General features: G+C 42.4%; 1 long non-coding RNA gene across 1 annotated transcript; it reads right to left on the bottom strand.

Annotated features, from left to right (window-relative positions):
- Positions 1-1,305: 1,305 nt before the first annotated feature.
- LINC02061 (long intergenic non-protein coding RNA 2061) lies at positions 1,306-19,111 on the bottom strand. The gene is made up of 2 exons (NR_187557.1): positions 19,032-19,111; positions 1,306-2,637 (listed from the first exon to the last, which is right to left on the bottom strand). It is a non-coding gene; the product is annotated as a long intergenic non-protein coding RNA 2061 (long non-coding RNA).

The raw sequence follows: 20,547 nt of genomic DNA on the forward strand, positions 1-20,547 counted from the left end.
CGGATAAACCTATAGTAACCGCCATAAATGAATTAGAAGTATGTATATTGATATGAAAAAATATCAGGAATATAATGTTAAGTGAAAAAACCCCAAGTTATAAAATCGTATTGTCTGTGGTTATATACATAGGGGGTAAAAGTGTAAAAATATGCCTGGGATGGAAAGACCCCCACTTCAGAGTACTGGGTCCCACTGGACAGGAGGGACAGAATGGGATTGGAGAAGGCCACACAGAGGACAATAGCCCCATTGATAAATTTAAATTTTATTTATTTATTTATTTATTTATTTATTTATTTATTTATTTATTTATTTATTTTTGAGACAGAATCTTGCTCTGTCTCCCAGGCGGGAGTGCAGTGGTGCAATCTCGGCTCACTGCAACCTCCGCCTCCTGGGTCCAAGCGATTCTCCTGCTTCAGCCTCTGGAGTAGCTGGGACTACAGGCACGCGCCACCATGCCCAGCTAATTTTTTGCATTTTTAATAGAGACGGGGTTTCAGGGTTTCACCATGTTGGCCAGGCTGGTCTCGAACTCCTGACCTTGGGTGATCCACCCGCCTCGGCCTCCCAAAGTGCTGTGATTACAGGCATGAGCCACCGCATCCGGCCAATTTCATTTTTTTAACAAAAAAACCGAATTGAATATGGCAAAATGAAAATATTTGTTATGGCTAAATGGTAGGCATCATGTGTTTATTATAGCATTCTCTATATTCTCTGTATAGTTTGAAATATTTAATAATAAAGCAATAATTCATTTAAAATCTAAATATAAGACATACTATAGCTATTTGAACTATTTTTAAAAGCAACTCTTAAAAAAATAATAAAATGTTAAAAGGAATTTCAACTACTCCCATTATAGAGTAGACTCAATACAGAGCCAATTAATGATTTATAATTTTTCAACACTGTATTTTGGCTTTAAAACTGATTTAGCATCCAAAGTTTAAGCTCTTCAATAATTACATAATTAGTAAATTAGTAATTTGCTTACTTGTCTTTTTAAACAGCACAGTCAGTGAGAATGCATTCTCTCATTTTCTTTTTTCTTTTTTTTGAGATGGAGTCTCGCTCTGTCGCCCGGGCTGAAGTGCAGTGGTGCGATCTAGGCTAACTGCAACCTCGGCCTGCTGGGTTCAAGCAATTCTCCTGCCTCAGCCTCCCAAGTAGCTGGGACTACAAGTGTGCACCACCATGCCCGGCTAAATTTTTGTATTTTTAGTAGAGACGGGGTTTCATCACACTGGCCAGGCTTGTCTTGAACTCCTGACCTTGTGATCTGCCCGCCTTGGCCTCCCAAAGTGCTGGGATTACAGGTGTGAGCCACTGCACATGGTCTCATTTTCTTTTTATGCAAAATCCCACTTGAAAAAGGAATAGGGATTTCATACCAACACTAGTTCTTACCACAAACCTCTCTAATATAAGTCCAGCATGAACTTGCTTTAGTAGGATAAAGTCAGCAGTTCAGAATATATATATTTTTTCCTCCTGAGACTTATGCAGCACACATTAATTTTCTCTATGGAACTAGATGGAAAAATATGTTAGTTAAAAATTTTATAATGAATACAGAATTATATCTCTTCACTATGGCAATATTGAATAGTGAATTGAACTTTATGCAAATAATGATATGCGAATCCAACTTCACCAGTTCTACATTTCTGCCTTATACAAAATGTTTCAGGCAAATTTAAAAGTAATTGCCATTTAGAAATTTAATCCAATACCCCGTCCCTTCTTTTATAGTCCCCTCATACTTTGTATACTTACGCTGCAAGTATCATATTGAATTAATTTTTTAGTCTTCCAAAATTGCAAGGATGAAGTTCCTGACACCTTGTAGAGTAAGAAAATTTGTAGATGAAAAACATGACTTTATGGAGTTGAGGGAGTGCAATTAGAAGTGAACAAATAAAAGTCATAGAATTTGTTTTGTTGTTCACAAAGTTAAAGCAATAAAGATAATACATTCAAGGTGGCTGTTAGGCCATACAACTTCTCTGTTTGGAATTTAAAAGGCATCTCTTTCTCTGGGTGGTTACAGCCCCAATTGGACAGGCGCCCCACTGCAGAGCACAACCTGCCTGACCATACGTGGCTCTGAGAAGGATTATTCATAACATTTTACAAATCTTAAAAGAGTAATATGAGTACGATACAAACAATTTAAATTTTCAACCCCTTGCTTGAAATGTTGTAGGATTTCTCTCCTCTGCACTTGCACTAATATGCATGCAGATTTGTTTGGCTTTGATGAGACAACATGTACAGTAAGAGGCATTTTACTTCCTCTGGGTCCGTGTGTCTCTTCAAGTGGGGTCTTCAAATGAGTCTTGACAGTCATTTCTCACACTCGCCCATGGTTTCAAATATGACGCTTCCAACTCAACAGACCCTGGGCAATGGAGGTAGAAGCAGGTGTCTGCTCAGGGCGGTAATCCACAGGGTGGTCAGGCAACAGGAATACAGAGGTGCAGTGGTCAGTTGGTTGTGCAGATAGAAAACAGCCTTGAGTAGAGACAAAATAACTTGACTCTGGTCGTGGTGGCTTGGGCCTGTAATCCCAGCACTTTGGGAGGCCAAGGCAGGAGGATCGTTTGAGCCCAGGAGTTCGAGATCAACCTGAGCAACAAAAAAAAATATATATATAATATATAGATAGATATAGATATAGATATAGACATAGAGTCTCGCTCTGTCGCCCAGGCTGGAGTGCAGTGGCACAATTTCAGCTCACTGCAACCTCTTCCTCCTGGGTTCAAGTGATCCTCCCACCTCAGCCTCCCAAGTAGCTGGGATTACAGACATGCGCCACCATGCCTGGCTAAATTTATTCTATTTTAAGTAGAGATAGGGTTTCACCAGTTGCCCAGGCTGGTCTCAAACTCCTGACCTCAAGTGATCTGTCCTGCCTCGGCCTCCCAAAGTGCTGGGATTACAGGCGTGAGCCACTGTGCCCAGCCCTGTGTCCTAAATACTTTTGCAGTGCCTCCTCATGCAGTCTCATCCTGTCAGCAGTCCCAGGCAACTGGAATTCTGAAACTGAGTGAAGTGTGGCACAGGCAACTTCCTTATAAATGATTTACTTTATTATTTAATTTGCCTCCCAATAATTGGCTAGGATTAGAAAATACCAAAAGGAAAGAGCTACCAGCAAAGCTGGAAATACTTTGTTGAATTTTTTCAGACCATTGACTGTTTTAATCGGTAGAATTGAATTGGTGTTTCTACATGACATATATGTAATGTTTAATCACAAACAGAAAAGTTGTAAGTATAGTACAGATAATGTTTTCCCTTTTTTAAAAAAATTTTATTTTTAGAGACAGGGTCTTGCTCTGTTGCCCAGGCTGGAGAGCAGTGGTGCTATTATAGTTCACTGCAGCCTCAAACTCCTGGGCTCAAGTAATCCTCCTGCCTCAGCCTCCCGAGAAGCTAGGACTATAGGTGTTAGCCATCATGCCTGCTAATTTTTTATTTTCTATTTTTTGTAGAGAGGGGGTCTCCTACATTGCCTGAGCTGATTGTAAATGTATGTGTATTCACCAGAAGGTGAAAGAGCCCTGAATATGTGTATGTGTATTCATGTACATATGCAGCCGGTCCTCCCGTCTCTACCTCCCAAAGTGCTGAGATCACAGGCGTAAGCCAACGTACCTGGCTTTTTTTTTCCCCCTGAGGTTTCTCTTTTATTTATAAGCATTTTGTCGGGAGAGACTTAAAAGTTATGTAAATATCCTGTACTTCATTAAACTTATAATTCATTGACTGTTTTATCCATATGAATATGGGCACCTGTATTTGGGTTACAAACTATTGCTACTACCCTTTGTCTCCATAGTCAGTGTCCCTCTTTCGGCTCCCCATTCAGGCTGGCTCCTGCATCCTTTTGACATGTCCCCTCACTCTCTCTTCTGCACTTGCATTAATACGCATGCAGATTTGTTTGGCTTTGATGAGACAACATATACAGTAAGAGGCATTTTACTTCCACTGTACTCCAGCCTGGGCAACAGAGACAGACCCTGTCTCAAAAAAAAAAAAAAAAAAATTTCTTTCTTTCTTTTTTTTTTTTTTTTTTTTTGAGACGGAGTCTCATTCTGTTGCCCAGGCTGGAGTGCAGTGGTGCGATCTCGGCTCACTGCAAGCTCCGCCTCCCGGGTTCACGCCATTCTCCTGCCTCAGCCTCCCGAGTAGCTGGGACTACAGGCGCCTGCCACCATGCCCAGCTAATTTTTCGTATTTTTAGTAGAGACGGGGTTTCACCATGTTAGCCAGGATGGTGTCGATTTCCTGACCTCGTGATCCACCCGCCTCGGACTCCCAAAGTGTTGGGATTACAGGCGTGAGCCACCGTGCCCGGCCAGATTTCTTGCTTTCTAGCACAAAATGTTCCAGGCTTATCTTATACTTTCCCTGCCCCAACACTGAAATCAGCCATTCCTCAAGAACCCCCTTGTTCCTTCTTTTTTTCAATTCAACTTTTTATTTGGAGATCACTAGATTTGCATGCAGTTGTGAGAAATAGAGATTTCACGTTACCCAGTTAACCCCAATAGTAACATCTTGTAAAATTATAGTGCAACATCACAACCAGGATATTGACATGGACACAGCCAAGGCACAGAATTTTCCCTCTCTACTAGGATCCCTCCTGTTGCCTTTTTATAGCCATACCCACCTTTCTCTCTCCCTCTCTCATCTCCCACCAGAGCCCTGATTACTTTTAGTGGAGAATGGTATTTAGGATTTAAGATTTAGGGACCGGGCGCAGTGGCTCATGCCTGTAATCCCAGCCCTTTGGGAGGCCAAGGCAAGCGGATCACTTGAGGCCAGGAGTTTGAGACCGGCCTGGCCAACAAGGTGAAAACCCATCTCTACTAAAAACACACAATTTAGCTGGGGATGGTGGCAGGCGCCTGTAATCCCAGCTACTCGGGAGTCTGGGGCATGAGAATCACTTGAACCTGGGAGGTGGAGGTTGCAGTGAGCTGAGATCACACTACTGCGCTCCAGCCTGGGTGACAGAGCAAGACTGTCTCAAAAAAAAAAAAAAAAAAAAAAAAATAAATAAATAAATAAATAAATAAATAAATAAAATTCAAGACTTGGGTGTTAGGCGTGCTCACTGCTATTGGGGTGTTGCTGCTCTCAGGCACTTTTAGTGGATAGTTTCTCTTGATTTAATGTATGTGCATGTATATAAGTACATACATATTTACATTGGTTATATCCACCTGTATCTATTGAAAACCAGGATTTCACACCAATACCTCCAATTCCAATCCAACACCATAGGGCTTACTTATTCATTCCTTTACATATTTGTACCTCTCTTCCGCACGAGAAACCTGGCTTCCATTATCTTCACTTTAGCCCTTTGATTAACCCCTCTGCATATAACCAGTCTGCCATGCCTTCCCTTGCGTAGGTGTCCCCCTTGCTCCGAGGGTACTGACACCCCTTGCTGGGCCCCTCCACAAAGACCTCCTTCTTACCCTTGCCCCAGCGTCCCATCTGGCACTTTCCGGCAGGGATATCCTCTGCCTCCTGCTGGGGCTTTGACGCACCTCACTGGCCTGCCCCCGCGTGTGAACGCTGTTCTTGTTGGGCTCTGCACCCTGCTCTGGGCTATCAGGGCTCTTTCGTCTCCTGGTGAAGATGCCTATCTTGTTCTGTGTAGCTTTAGGACTGAATGGTTTGAGAAGAAAAGAGAAGGGAAGGGGAAGAAGAGTTATAGGTACTTTTATTTTTAGAAACATGGTCTCAGCCAGGCATGGTGGCTCACTCCTATAATCCCAGCACTTTAGGAGGCTGAGGCAGGCAGGTTGCTTGAGCTCAGGAGTTTGAGACCAGCCTGGCCAACATGGAGAGACCTTGTCTGTACAAAAAATACAAAAATTAGCCAGGCGTGGTGGCATGCATCTGTAGTCCCAGCTACTCGGGAGGCTGAGGTGGGAGGATGCCTTGAGCCCAGGAGGCAGAGGTTTCAGTGAGCTGAGATTGTGCCACTGTAGTCCAGCCTGGGTGACAGAGCCAGACCCTGTCTCAAACAAAAAACAAAAAACTAAACAAAAACAAGAGACAAGGTCTCATTCTGTCACCCAGACTGGGGTGCATTGGTGTGATCATGGCTCACTACAGCCTCAACCTCCCGGGCTCAAATGATCCTCCCATCTCAGCCTTCCTAGTATCTAGGACTACAGGTTCGTTCCACTACACTCAGCTAATTATTTTTATTTTTGTAGAGATGGGGTCTCCCTATGTTTTCCAGTCTGTTGTTGAACTCCTGGGCTCAAATGACCTTCCTGTGTCAGCCTCCCAAAGTGCTGGGATTATAGGCATTAGCCACTGTGCCTGGCTTATGTGTACTTTTTAATAATAAAAACCCTAACCCCACTAAATAAATGTTGAGCCATTTGAAAAAATAGCGTTAATTTGAAACTGTGCTAAATTGTTGTCCTGCCTGGGGCATCTTTGTGTCACTGCTCAGCCCTGGCTGTCAGACCCTCCTATTTATGTCTCAGTTCCTTCCTTCTGTGCAATCCCCAGGACGTAGGCTCCTCTCAGCTTCCTTCATCTTCCTGGGCTTCACTGCAGAATTCTCCATGATTTACCTTCATTTTCCATTTTTGACTATCCCATTTCCACCACGTTCTTCCTTTTCTAAATATACCTCTCAGGAATGACTTGGGTTTACTGGTATCAGAATTCTCAGGCTTGCCAAAGAGATGGATAGCAGTGAAGGTTTTTTGCTAGAATTTGTTTATTAGGAACTTGTAAGAGAGTTTCTAGACATGTTTATCCTTGAGTCTGGAGCTTTTTCATAATTACTTTTTTTTTTTTTTTTTTTCTGAGACAGAGTCTTACTCTGTTGCCTAGGCTGGAGTGCAGTGGCGTGATCTCGGATCACCACAACCTCCACCTCCTGGGTTCAAGCGATTCTCCTGCCTCAGCCTCCCAAGTAGCTGGGGTTACAGGCGCGTGCCACCACGCCCAACTAATTTTTGTATTTTTAGTAGAGATGGGGTTTCACCATGTTGGCCAGGCTGGTCTCAAACTCCTGACCTCAGGTGATCCTCCCACCTCGGCCTCCCAAAGTGCTGGGATTGCAGGCCTGAGTCACCATGTCCAGACTTGTTTTTTAAGACTTGGCATTCCACCTGGCACATCACAGGCAAGTGATGAATGACATCCAAGGAATGTTGAGTTGTAACAAGTGATCTTGACTAATATTATGCCCCACAACGTTTGAACACCTGCTGAGCTAAAACTGGAAAAAGTGTTGATTCCTCTCTGCTGACTTTTAGTCTGTTGAGTGGCTTGTCCCTTTGTGTGTGGGAACTAGTCACCACTGGCCTTTAGTAATAAAACGTGGAGCAAAGACCCTCTTCTGGAATGGACAGGTGTGAGCTAGGCGATGTGTCTGACTGTGCCCACAGGGGCCATTGCTGTAGACACCATGTGTCATCTTTTCTTTAGCAGAGGTTTTTCTAGGTCCAGATCCAGGCTATGCTGTTCTGTACATCACTGGACACTGGGGCAATGGGTGTCCTTGCTCCCAGATTAGGAGTGCAGACCCCAAGAGTCTGGAGACACACTCAGGTCACAATCTTTTCTTTCCTTATGCTGGAGGGCAGACTGGGCCAAAGAACTCTGCTTGGAGCAAAGGGATCTGGATGAGATTATGGCTGACCACACATGGTGTTATTAAAGACTGAGTAACCCGCTTGGCAAACATATGAACATAGAAATGTGTTCTGATGTCTTTGGGGAATAAGAACAATTCTACAGTCCTGTGGGTGGAGGGAGGAGTTTTCCCTGAAGGGAGTGGAGAATCCAGCCACCAGCCATCCTGAAAAGAGGCTAGATTTGGAGGAGGAGGTCGGGACATAGGAGGTGGGCCTCAGCTTAAGCTGGAAGAAGAGCTTTCTCCTTTCTCTGAGGCCTCAGGTTATGTAGGCCGGGCTGCCTGCCAGAAACCTCCTGCTGCGGTGGGGTGCCCTGGGCCACGAGGCCTTAAGACAGATGGGAACGGACCTAGAACAAGGTGCAGTTTTTTTTTTTTTTTTTGAGACAGAGTCTCGCTCTGTCTCCCAGGCTGGAGTGCAGTGGTGCGATCTCGGCTCACTGCAAGCTCCGCCTCTCGTGTTCACGCCATTCTCCTGCCTCAGCCTACTGAGTAGCTGGGACTACAGGCGCCCGCTACCACTCCCGGCTAATTTTTTTTTTTCATATTTTTAGTAGAGGCGGGGTTTCACTGTGTTAGCCAGGATGGTCTCGATCTCCTGACCTCGTGATCTGCCCACCTGGGCCTCCCAAAGTGCTGGGATTACAGCCGTGACCACCGCGCCTGGCCAAGGTGCAGTATTTTAATGTTTTCTCTATGTTGTATTTCTTTTCCACGATTTCAGAAACACACACACACACACACACACACACACACACACACACACACACGCAATTAAGTTTTATTCTCATCACCTAGAATGGAAAAACAAAACAAAACAAACAAACCCTGAAGCTGTGGTAGATTTAATCATCTGTAAAATAGGAAAAATAGGACATACTACATCGGATTGCTGTGTGAATTGAGTGGGATAGCCCATTTGAGCCTCTTTTCATCTTGCCTAGAGCACTCCATTCCTATCAAACAAAGCCAATTCTTTACTCCATGGTTCTTTATTTTGATAAGCATCCTCATGTGTGTCATGCTGCCTCACAGCATTTTGGTATCTGGTTCATCCAAAATTGTTGTAAAGAAACAATGACATAAAACAAAATGATGAAATGTCAAAGTGGCTGGGCATGGTGGCTCATACCTGTAATCCCAGCACTTTGGGAGGCTGAGGCGGGAGGATCACTTGAGCCCAGGAGTTCAAGACCAGTCCGGGCAACATGGGAAGAACTTGTCTCTACAAAAATTAGCAGGGCGTGGTGGTGCTCACCTGTAGTCCCAGCTACTCGGGAGGCTGAGGTGGGCGGATCTCTTGAGCCCGGGAGGCAGAGGTTACATTGAGCCAAGATTGCATGGCTGCACTCCAGCCTGGGCTACAGAGCGAGATCCTGCCTCAAAACAAACAAACAAATGAACCCCTCCTCAAAACCCCAAGAAACAAATGTCAAAGTGAAAAGAACTTTGGAGATGCTCTAGTTAAGAGGCTAAACTACAGAGTGAGACCCTGTCTCAAAACAAACAAACAAATGAAAACCCCCAAAACCCCAAGAAACGAATGTCAAAGTGAAAAGAACTTTAGAGATGCTCTAGTTTAGTTTCCTAATAGTGCTATGTTGGTTTTCGGATGGGACAATTCTTTGTTGTATGGGACTGTCCTCCCATCACAGGGCATTTAGCAATGGTCAGTTCTCTTAGTTTTTTTTGATGATCAAAAACATCCCGCACATTTCCAAAGGCCCCTGGGAAAGGAGAAAATATTGTTCCTTTTGAGAATCACTAACACCTTCATTTTCACTAGAAGGCAGGCCTAAGAGGTCACATGACTTGCCAAAATGACAGAGTAAATTAAAGAGCTAGAAAAAGAAACCCAGGCCTCCACTCCTGCAGGTGAGTCTTATTATCTTCTATTGAGTTAGAAAGTGAAGACAATGACATGCTTGATGCTTCCTGTAAGACACTCCCTTCACCCCCAACTTTACACTAACAGAGGGTTAATCCATAGATTTCTTGATATTTCCAATATTTTCTAATTTTTTTTCACATAAGGCAGTATAAAAGGTGAGATTGAAAAGTGAGAAGTGATGCAGAAATCTCTAAAAATTTTTGTGTTATCACCCAACTCTTCCTTCACTTTGAACTGTGCAAACACTTTAACTTGCCCAACCCTACATTCTTTGAGTATGACCAACTTCATCAGGGGAGTTTTCATACAAAGATATACAATGTTGGCAGGACATTTTATCCTAAATGTATTACTGTTAAAGGCAAATTCTTTGAATATCTGACTGTAGAAGTTAAGGATAATTACAGTTTGTGTAAAATGAAACTAAACATCGGGAACCACTCTTCATAAACCAAGTATATTAACTAGTTCTCTTAATCTACTTAATGGGAATAATTTTGACCTGTTGAACTAGCACACACAAGACTGCTTTTTCTTATGGGGGTGACATGAGAACTATTCTCTCCTGAAATATTATCAGTGCTGTTTTTTCATGTTTCCAATACACTTGTAAACAAGGAATAACTATAAGTTATTGATTGATAATAATGATAGGGAGTGATTCTACCAGTAAATCTCTCTCATCATAATATACATGGACACCAGATAATTCATAATATGCTAATATTAAACTTTTTGAGATTATTTTAGAAAAATACATGTAAAATTTAAACCTTCTTTCAGAGTTATCTTTATCTCACATATGAAAGCATTTCTTTTCAAACAGCAGTTCTTTTTCCTTTTATTTTAGCTGTCATAATTCTTAATCTAACTCAGCCATAAAATTCAGAATAATTTTTAGAATTTATTTAGAAAGTCAATGCATGTGAAATTTGGTTATGTTGAGTTCATCTTTTTAAGTAAATCAGAATGTCACTTAGCCTTTATGGATCAAAAATATTTCAAAATCAAGTACTGCATTTTACAATTGGTAGAAAGTAAACTTCTCCATCTGTGCCGTTACTCAGAGGAATAGCTAGATAATTATTAGTAATTAATTTTATTAACTTGTTTATATTTATATGATGCATATTTTACAACTGGAGAAATGGTCTGAATCCCAACATCTACCCTATGAACTCAATTTACGTGTTTGGATACCATTTGAGAGTGAAGCTAAATAGGTTAATGTATTCATAGAAATTGGAGGTTTCACCTACTTAATAGCAATTATCAAGAGGCTGTAAGGTATTTTTAAAGAAATGACAGTATGCAAATAGCAAGGGGATAAGAACAATCAGAATGCATATGGAAATTTTACACCAAATATATATCTAGGAATTTATATAAGTGAGTAATTGTAATACCCTTTGAAGGGTTCATCTTAGGAGGCCACACATTGATTCTAAGAATGATGTAATTGCTCTAAACCACTGTTTCTCAAACTGGATGTCATGATCCTTTGGATTTCCAAGGATATCATCTCTGATAACAATGAGTTCTCCATAAGAATGTTTAAAATCTACATTTATATTTTTAAAGAAATCTTAAAAAATTTAATATCAGCATGTTATAGATCATCTGGGTGACCATCTCATAACTGAGCACTGGAAAGGATTTTTATGCCCCTGTTTGCATTTGTGATTCCAATTCACCATCAAATAATACTACTTTATCATGGGCTGATAAGAAAAGAGTAGAGGCCAGGCGCGGTGGCTCATGCCTGTAATCCCAGCACTTTGGGAGGCTGAGGCAGGCGGATCACTTGAGGTCAGGAGTTCGAGACCAGCCTGGCCAACATGGTGAAACCCCATCTCTACTAAAAATACAAAAATTAGCCGGGCATGGTTGTGGGTGCCTGTAATCCCAACTACTCAGGAGGCTGAGGCAGGAGAATCACTTGAACCCGGGAGGCGGAGGTTGCAGTGAGCCGAGATCGCGCCACTGCACTCCAGCCTTGGCAACAGAGCGAGACTCTGTCTCAAAAAGAAAAAAAAATAAATAAAATAAAAGAGCAGAGATATTTTCACACCAAATGGAAGGCCAAGAAAGGACTTGGCTCTGCTTATCCCAAGGTTTTCTAGTAGATTGAAGGGATAACGTGGTGGGAGAATTGAGTCTTCACAACACATGCAATAGCATAGCAGTGCTGAACTCCAAAATACTTGCAACGTAGCAGTTGTACTATATTCACATTGGGAGCAGCAGATCAGTTTCAGAAAAGTATCATTTGTCAAGTTAAACTTATATGGGTAATTTGAATCATAGTGGTTTTGTCATTTCATTTGAATTGCATTAAAATTTATCGTGGATTTATAATTTTATAAGTGCTATAAATCCAAGGATCATTACCCCTGGTTTTATGTTGGTACACACCTAAGTAATCTTGCAGTAAAAAGTATTTTAAGACAACTCTAGAGGGTCCGTGAGAGCTTTTCTTTTAAACATTTTTATTTTTTAAATTAAAAGTGATCCTTTTGATACAACTTCACACTGATCCTTTGTTAACTAAAAAAAGTGATCCTTTTGAGAAACAGTGCTCTGAGCATTTTGGACTGTTTCTTTAGGAATTGCCTCTATAGTGCATCTTTTTGAATGTTTCCAATAGGATAAATCTTGCTCCTCCGATCACGGATGTGTTAAAGCCACTGTAGCAGACATCTTGTATCTGTCTGCCCAGCACCCATGAAACCTTTTGGTTAGTGCCCTTCTGTGTTTCTTTCTGGAATGCAATCTTGGTGGAACTGTCCATCACAGAGCCCCATCCCCTTCATCCCCTATCCCCAGGCCAAGGGCTAGACAGGGGATCCAAATGATGTCAGCCAGACTCTCGCTGGAATTTGAGGCTTGAAGTGGAGTGACACAAGAACTGAAAATAGTTGAAGCTGATTCATCCCAATGGTGGCGGCCCCAAGAGGCTGTCCCATTAGTTCCTGCGACGTCATTCTCTGGTTTTGACTGGATTCTGTCCTTCTCAAGACTGGCTGATCAGTGGTTGCTTTAGTTCTGTGGCCACCATTTACCTTTCAACAAATCCTGTTATTTTTGGTTAATTTAGCCAGAGTTGGTTTCTGTTACATGCAGCCGTTGGCAGAGTCATAAAAAGTAGACATCTGGCAAAAAGGCTTAGTGACAATGCTAGGGAATTTTGTTTGGGGTCACCCAAATATGTGAAACTGAAGTCATAAGAATTAAAAAATATGTGTAGCCATTATTGGGGCTCCTCATCTGGCTGTATTCTGTCAACACTGTTGAAAGAGCTGTGGTGCCTATGGCTTTAGGATCAAATAGAGATGGCTGTCTCACTTACCAGCTAAGCATAACGTTGAGTATGTTACTTGGACTCTCTAAGCCTCAGCTTTGTCATGATTTCCTCGTAATATTGAGGATAATAATGGTATATACCTCATGGTATTGTTGTGAAGATTAAATGAGATAATACACATAAGACACATAGCAAACATTACAAATATAAAGTATTGTTATTATGATTTTGACGTTTGACAGTCATTGAGCTATATGCTGAGGATGCAAAAGTAATAAGAGAAAAGAAATATAAATCACTCATATTTTTCTTGGAAAAATGTTGAATTTGTATGGAAGAAGTATGTTGATATTCTGCTTCAACTGGAATGCAACATCCCCAAGGGAGTGCTTAATTAATAGCTGAGTTGGAGTAGAAAGAGAAGAGAAATTCCTGCTGGCAAAGTAGGGGGAAAGACAGTGTTTGGAAGCCAAGGAATGACAGAGTGGAGATTTTAGGGTGAAAAGTTATATAATATGATCCTTTTGGTTGACGCCACAATATTCGTCAAAGACTACCAAAATTTCACAAAATGATCGTTGTAGTTTGATTTTAAAAATAGAAACTGAGACTAAGTTTTGTACCTTGGTTGCCATGGATACAGAATGGAAAATCCAGCATATGTAAAATGCAAGGAATAGTTGTCATCTGTTATATTTCTGGTGTGCTACGTGGGACTATTGAACTGAGGGACAGCACCCTGTTATTATTTAAGTTGGTTCAATTTATGCTCCGAAAACAGAATCTCAAAGCAGGATTTTGGGATTGGGTTGTGTATATGTTCAAGAACACAGAGGTTATTTCCTTCAGAGGGGTAAGGGGAAAATAGGATGTGGGTAATTCTTGGTACATGGTGGCATCATGATTACTCATATCATCACTGCAAGGTATCAAGCCATGAAGTGCAGATGGAGGGAGAGGTGTGGGAACATCCAGTGGCTATGGGACTTAGTGGCTATGGTGATGGAGTGGTGATGTAAAGACTGTGGAGTCATCTGGCTTCTTTTGACAAACCTAGATGGTACAAGAGGAATGAAAAGCTATGAATGCAAAATTAAGAATACATATAGGGAACCAGAAGGCCCCATGGCAGCGTTGAGGGAATCCTACATCTTTTGTAATTGCAGCATTGATAAAGCTAAGGGGTCAAGGGGGAAACATTTCTGCACCAGTTAAAGGCTAAAACCTGCTATACTTCTTACCCTAGGGTAGAGACACTGGTTGGCTTGATTTAGGCATGAGCCATGGGATGAGGACATTTGGGCAGATATGGACAAAGTTGAGAACTTGGGACCTGTAAATTCCTCTTAACTCTCTCGCTAGCACAGAAACAAACTGTTCTCTGCAAGAAGTCTTTTAAATGGGAACACCTGGCAGTTGCCTCCCATGCTAATGGTACCACTCATCACCTCTAGGCCTATAACAAGAGTTAAAACCCAAAAGAGCCCAGATGGAGAGGTACAAAGCCTGGTGGTTGGAGAGAGAGCCTATGCGCAGAGTTATGACGCTGATCAGTGTTGATGGAAGTTTGGGGAGCATACGTGAGCGTGGATTCTAAAGGTGTTAGACCAAAAAGAACATCATTGAAAGCTCTTTTGCTTAAATTTATTAATGTAGAAGGACTCATTCAGGATTCTGGATTTAATGTGTTGGCTTTAGTTCCTAGGAGTCAAATTAATAGTGTGCTAAATTGGCTGATTAAAATCTGGACTCAGCCATGGTGTGACAGATTATATTTTCCAAAGTACTGCATTTGGAATATACATCCTGGTCCAATGCTTAGTCCTGGGGCTAAGCCAGTTCTGCTTTCTATTGTAATATGGTTTGGAGGATTCTGGATCATTATGATATCCCACAGTTGATAAAATTATGTTAATCAACTTCATGATCAGGAAGTAGCAAACTTCTTTGCTGCCGTAGCAAGACACATGTATGCCACAGGAAGAAAAATAAAAAGAAAGCTTAGGGCCTTGCCATCTTGAGATTTTCTAGAGTCCAGTGATTTGGGTATTTGGGGATATTTCTTCTAAATTGAAAGACAGGTTGTTGTACCTTGCCTTGCTCAGAATGAGGCCCAGAGCTTGGTGAGCCTCTTTGGAATTCGGAGGTACTTATACCCCATTTGGGTTGCTTTGACTCATTTAGCGGGCAGCCCATGAGGTACCAGTTTTGAATGGGGCCTGAAATAAGAAATGGCGCCGCAGCAGGTCCAGGCTATGGTTTCTGCTGCCTGGCCACTTGAGCTTTGGGACCTGGCAAAACTGACAAGAGAAGAAAATATCTTAGGGGAAAGAAACTCTAGTAAAATGAAAGCAAATGATTTTTTTATTTTCTCATTTTAATAAAACAATATAATACTTATTATAGAAACTTTAAAGACACAAGTAAGAAAAAAGAAGAAAATAAATCACCTACAGCCCCACAACCTGTACAACTATGGATCCTATCTTGGTGCATATTCTTCCAGCCTTTTTTTTTTTTTTTAGCAGATGAAGTTCTTTATTGAAAATATTTTCTCTCTCATTTTAAAAATTGTATTTTATTGCGGTGAGAACACTTAACATGAGATCTACTCTCATAACACACTTTTTTTTTTTTCAGATGGAGTCTTGCTCTGTTGCCCAGGCTGGAGTGCAGTGGTGTGATCTTGGCTCACTGCAACCTCCGCCTGCCAGTTCAAGCGATTCTCCTACCTCAGCCTCCTGAGTAGCTGGGATTACCGGCAAGCACCACCACACCTGGCTAATTTTTGTACTTTTAGTAAAGATGGGGTTTCACCATGTTTGCCAGGTTGGTCTCGAACTCCTGACCTCAGGTGATCGGCCTACCTCGGCATCCCAAATTGTTGGGATTACAGGTGTGAGCCACCAAGCCTGACCCTCATAACACACTTCTTTTTTGCAACATATGTTTTTATTACTCAAGGACAACTTGGACTTCACCAATGCCCAGCTTCATGGGGTCATGTAGTGTGACTCATGGATGAACACAAAATCACTGTTAAGCCTGTGCTACAGCCCTGGGCTACTTTTGGACACCCATGAGGACACTCGGTTACGTGAAACCTGACTTGCTTCTAAAGACATGTGACACATGTTTTTTCCCTGAAAATGTTTCCCCTCCCTCTCTGCCATGCTCCCAACTTTCTGCCTTCTTGGAGCTTCTCACTGTGTGGGTAACTAGGTCTTGGGCTTAGCTGGACCTTGGGTAGTGGCCCCTCTGCCACAATCAGTGCCTGAGCCTGAGACTGAGCTTGTGGCCTCCAAAGCCTGACCTGGCTTGGAGCTCATCTGTGGTCCACATGAGCTAGAGTCAATAAGAATGTACTCTTAAAAGTGTGTTAGGAGCCGACGAGAAATAGGGCCATCCTAGCTGCTTATAATTTGGAAAAGTGTGGCCGGGCACAGTGGCTCATGCCTGTAATCCCAGCACTTTGGGAGACCAAGGCAGGAGGATCGCTTGAGCCCAGTAGGTCAAGACCAGACAGGGCAACATGATGAGACCCCGTCTCTACAGATTTTTTTTTTAAACAATTACCCTGCCATGGTAGTGGACACCTGTGGTCCCAGCTACTGGGGAGGCTGAAGTGGGAGTATCATTTATGGTTGGGAGGTCGAGGCTGCAGGGAGTCATGATTGCATCACTGCACTCCAGTCTGGGCAACAGAACAGGACTCTGTTTCAAAAAGAAAAATACTGGGTAAAGTGAAGTATGGCTGTCCCACGGCTCAGTCCTAGCAAGAAGTGAGAATTCTGAGATCCTCCAGAGAGTGGAGCAGCACCCTCCCCTCACCTCAGGCCAGTGTCTTCAGGCTTTACCAGTGACCTGTGAGCCTGGCTTCCACCCCTGAGTGCCACAGACAAGCTCCAAGCCAGGTCAGGCTTCGGAGGCCACAAGCTCAGCCTCAGGCTCAGGCACTGATTGTGGCAGAGGGGCCACTACCCAAGGTCCAGCTGGGCCCAAGACTTAGTTACCCAGACAGTGAGAAGCCCCAAGAAGGCAGAAAGTTGGGAGCATGGCAGAGAGGGAAGGGAAACATTTTCAAGGAAAAAACGTTTCGGTTGGGCGCGGCCACTCACGCCTGTAATCCCAGCACTTTGGGAGGCCGAGGCGGGTGGATCACGAGGTCAGGAAATCGAGACCATCCTGGCTAACACGGTGAAACCTCGTCTCTACTAAAAATACAAAAAAATTAGCCGGGCGTGGTGGCGGGCACCTGTAGTCCCAGCTACTTTGGAGGCTGAGGCAGGAGAATGGCGTGAACCCAGGAGGCGGAGCTTGCAGTGAGCCGAGATCGCGCCACTGCACTCCAGCCTGGGCGATAGAGCCAGACTCCGTCTCAAAAAAGAAAAAACATGTGTCACATGTACTATCCAATCCTATACTTGCTCAAACCTGCCTACTTTGCCTTATTCACTCCTTTCCAAGGAAATGACAATAATAGCTCTGGGCCGTGTTTTCTCCTTTGCTCTTGTCTTCTGAGGACCTCAGTATTTCCCTGTGTGACTCTGCCTTGCATGGCATGACCCCCTTATGTTGGAAAATGTAAATAATAACGTCTTTTTTCAAAGGCATTTGTCCCTGTATCTGTCATATTACCACACCTGATTAAAACAAATCTCAGGTACTTTTATCTCATTTTATTGTTTTATTTTATTATTTTATTTTATTTGAGACAGGGTCTCACTCTGTCACCCACACTGGGGTGTAATGTCACCATTATAGCTCACTGTAGCCTTGAACTCCTGGGCACAGGTGATCCTCCTGCCTCAGCCTCTGAGTAGCTAGAACTATAGGGACATGCCACCACACCCAGCTAATATTTTAATTTAATTTTATTTTTTGTACAGATGAGGTCTCGTTATGTTGCCCAGGCTGGTCTCAAACTCTTGGCCTCAAATGATCCTCCTGTCTTGGCCTCCCAAAGTGCTGGGATTACAGGCATGTGCCCTGGCCCTGGGTACATTTTAGAACACCCTCTTTCTCTCCTTAATCCTAAACATTCTAAAGCTGCCTGGAGTCCCAATTCCATGCCAGTCCTCAGCATGTTTGCCCTGTCCATAGTGACATCCATGCGGGGCTAGTATGCATCTGAGGTTTAAGGATTACTCCAGCCTTGAGGCTCTGTGCATTGTGTGCACAAAGTTTCTTCCATAATACAGAAAGCCCTTTAGGTATTGCGATTTGTGTTTATTTGTCTTGATTTTTAACTGTCTGCATGATTTTTTCTTGTTCAAAAGAATAAAGCAATCCATTATTTTGCTTCACCATCTTTGAATAGCTGCATGAAACCAGAGGCCTTCAGGATTTTATGCGAGGAAAATATGTCTACAGCCACTCCAATGTAAATTTTACACAGTGTGAATCTTTCCCCAAAGCCCAGTAACCAGATGTGTAAAAGATGTGTCAACCAAAGCCTCTGTTTGATATCCGTAACTCTAGCAGCTTAAAAATAACTCCCGTTGATAAATAGAAGAGTGCATGCTCACAATGAGACTATGAAACACAGGGACTCCTAAGAAAATGAGTGATTCTCTAGGAAAGGATAAATCAAACAAATAGAACCCAAGGGACTAAGAGAGTATTAAAAATTATTTTCTGCTAGGCACGGTGGGTCACTCCTGTAATCCCAACAGTTTGAGAGGCTGAGGAGGGCGAATCACCTGAGGTCAGGAGTTCGAGACCAGCTTGGCCAACATGGTGAAACCCCATCTCTACTAAAAATACAAAAATTAGCCTGGTGTGGTGGTGCACCCTTGCAGTCCCAGCTACTCGGGAGGCTGAGGCAGAAAAATCGCTTGAACCTGGGAGGTTGCAGTGAGCTAAGATTGCACCACTGTACTCCAGCCGCAGAGACAGACTCTGTCTCAAAAAACGAAAAAAAAATTTTCCTGCAATTTATTTTTAGTCGTGTTTTTTTAAAATGACTTGCTTGATAAGATGTTAAATTTAGAAGATTAAGTCACAGACTATTACAGAATAATACCTCTACACACTTCAGACTAGGAACAAAATTCCCAAAGTTCTTAATAACATAAGGTATGCTAACATAATAAGATATGTTAAAGTAAGAAATGACAGAATCACAATACCTTGGTTTTGGCTCAACTTCCTTTGTTGGCAAGGAGCCTTCACTTAACTTTCCCGGCCCTCTTTCATCTGTGAAATGAAAGGATTGGACTGGCTGAATTCTTTTAATTCTAAAATGTTAATAATATACTTGGGGTTCTTTCTATGATTACTTCAAGCCCACCTTTAGGGTTTCAAATAGAAAATCCCACTGGTTGGGACTTTTCTTTCTTTTTTTTTGGAGGTGGAGTTTCACTCTTGTTGCCCAGGCTGGAGTGCAACGGCACGATCTCAGCTCACTGCAACCTCCGCCTCCCAAGTTCAAGTGATTCTCCTGCCTCAGCCTCCTGAGTAGCTGGGATTACAGGCATGTGCCACCACCCCCGGCTTGGCCTCCCAAAGTGCCGGGATTACAGGCGTGAGCCACTGTGCCCAGCCAGGACTTTTCTTAATTTATTAGTAGTACCAAACAGTTTTTAATATATGTTAAAACAAAAGTAGGCACTTATATTTTATAACAAAAAAATGAAATAAAAGATAAATGGCAGGCTGAGGTGAGCAGATCACCTGAGGTCAGGGGTTTGAGACCAGTCTGGCCAACATGGTGAAATCCCATCTCGACTAAAAATACAAAAATTAGCTGAGTATGGTGGCGCACATCTGTAATCTCAGCTACTCGGGAGGCTGAGGCAGGAGAATTGTTTGAACCCGGGAGGCAGAGGTTGCAGTGAGCAGAGATCATGCCTTTGCGCTCCAGTGTGGGCAACAGAGTGAGACTGTCTCATTAAAAAAAAAAAAGATAAATGGTTAAAATGAAAAACCTGGACAATGACTTTTCAAAACAAAGAAGGTAGAGAGTATTCAGCAAGGTTATGGAGTCAGGGAGCCCCCCCTGTTTTGTGGTGGTCTTCAATATGGGAGCGGCAGTTTAATCCTAGTTCTGATTGAATCCAAATTTTTTGTTTTGCCTGTGGAATAAGTACTTCCTAGGAATGTGAACTTTAGAGTTAAGTAAGTGGGTTAAAGTCCCAGCCCTGCTACCTACTACCTGTGTGCCTGCAGATAAATTATTAAATGTTTTTCAAAGATTCAGTTTAATTATCTCTAAAATGGAGCTGATAATGCTTGCTTCAGAGAGTTATTATGATGAGATAATGCATGCACAGTATTTAACAGTTCCTTGTACTTAGCAAGTAAGAGCTCAAGAAGTAGTAGTTAATCTTATTATGCTATATTGCCTTCTTGGATCTCAATTCTGTACCCTTGTGATCTTGTAGGAGCAGGAAAACTAAGAGAAAAGTAAAGTATGATTTAAAAATAATATAAATAAACTTGGGGAAGGGGGAAACAGAGTGTCTAGCATAAGATAAAGATGATGTGTTTTGCAGGTGTAGAAAGCAGATCGCAATGGAGATTACAAAGTCAGAGAAATTAACTGTTAAACCAGTATCGGATTGAGAAGGAACATAACATTTTGACTCCCATGAAGCCTGAATGCTGCAGACATGTTGGTAAGCAGAGGGCAGAGGGTGTGATTGT

The sequence above is a fragment of the Homo sapiens genome, chromosome 5 (genome assembly GCF_000001405.40).
Source record: "Homo sapiens chromosome 5, GRCh38.p14 Primary Assembly".
NCBI classification, from domain to species: domain Eukaryota; kingdom Metazoa; phylum Chordata; class Mammalia; order Primates; family Hominidae; genus Homo; species Homo sapiens.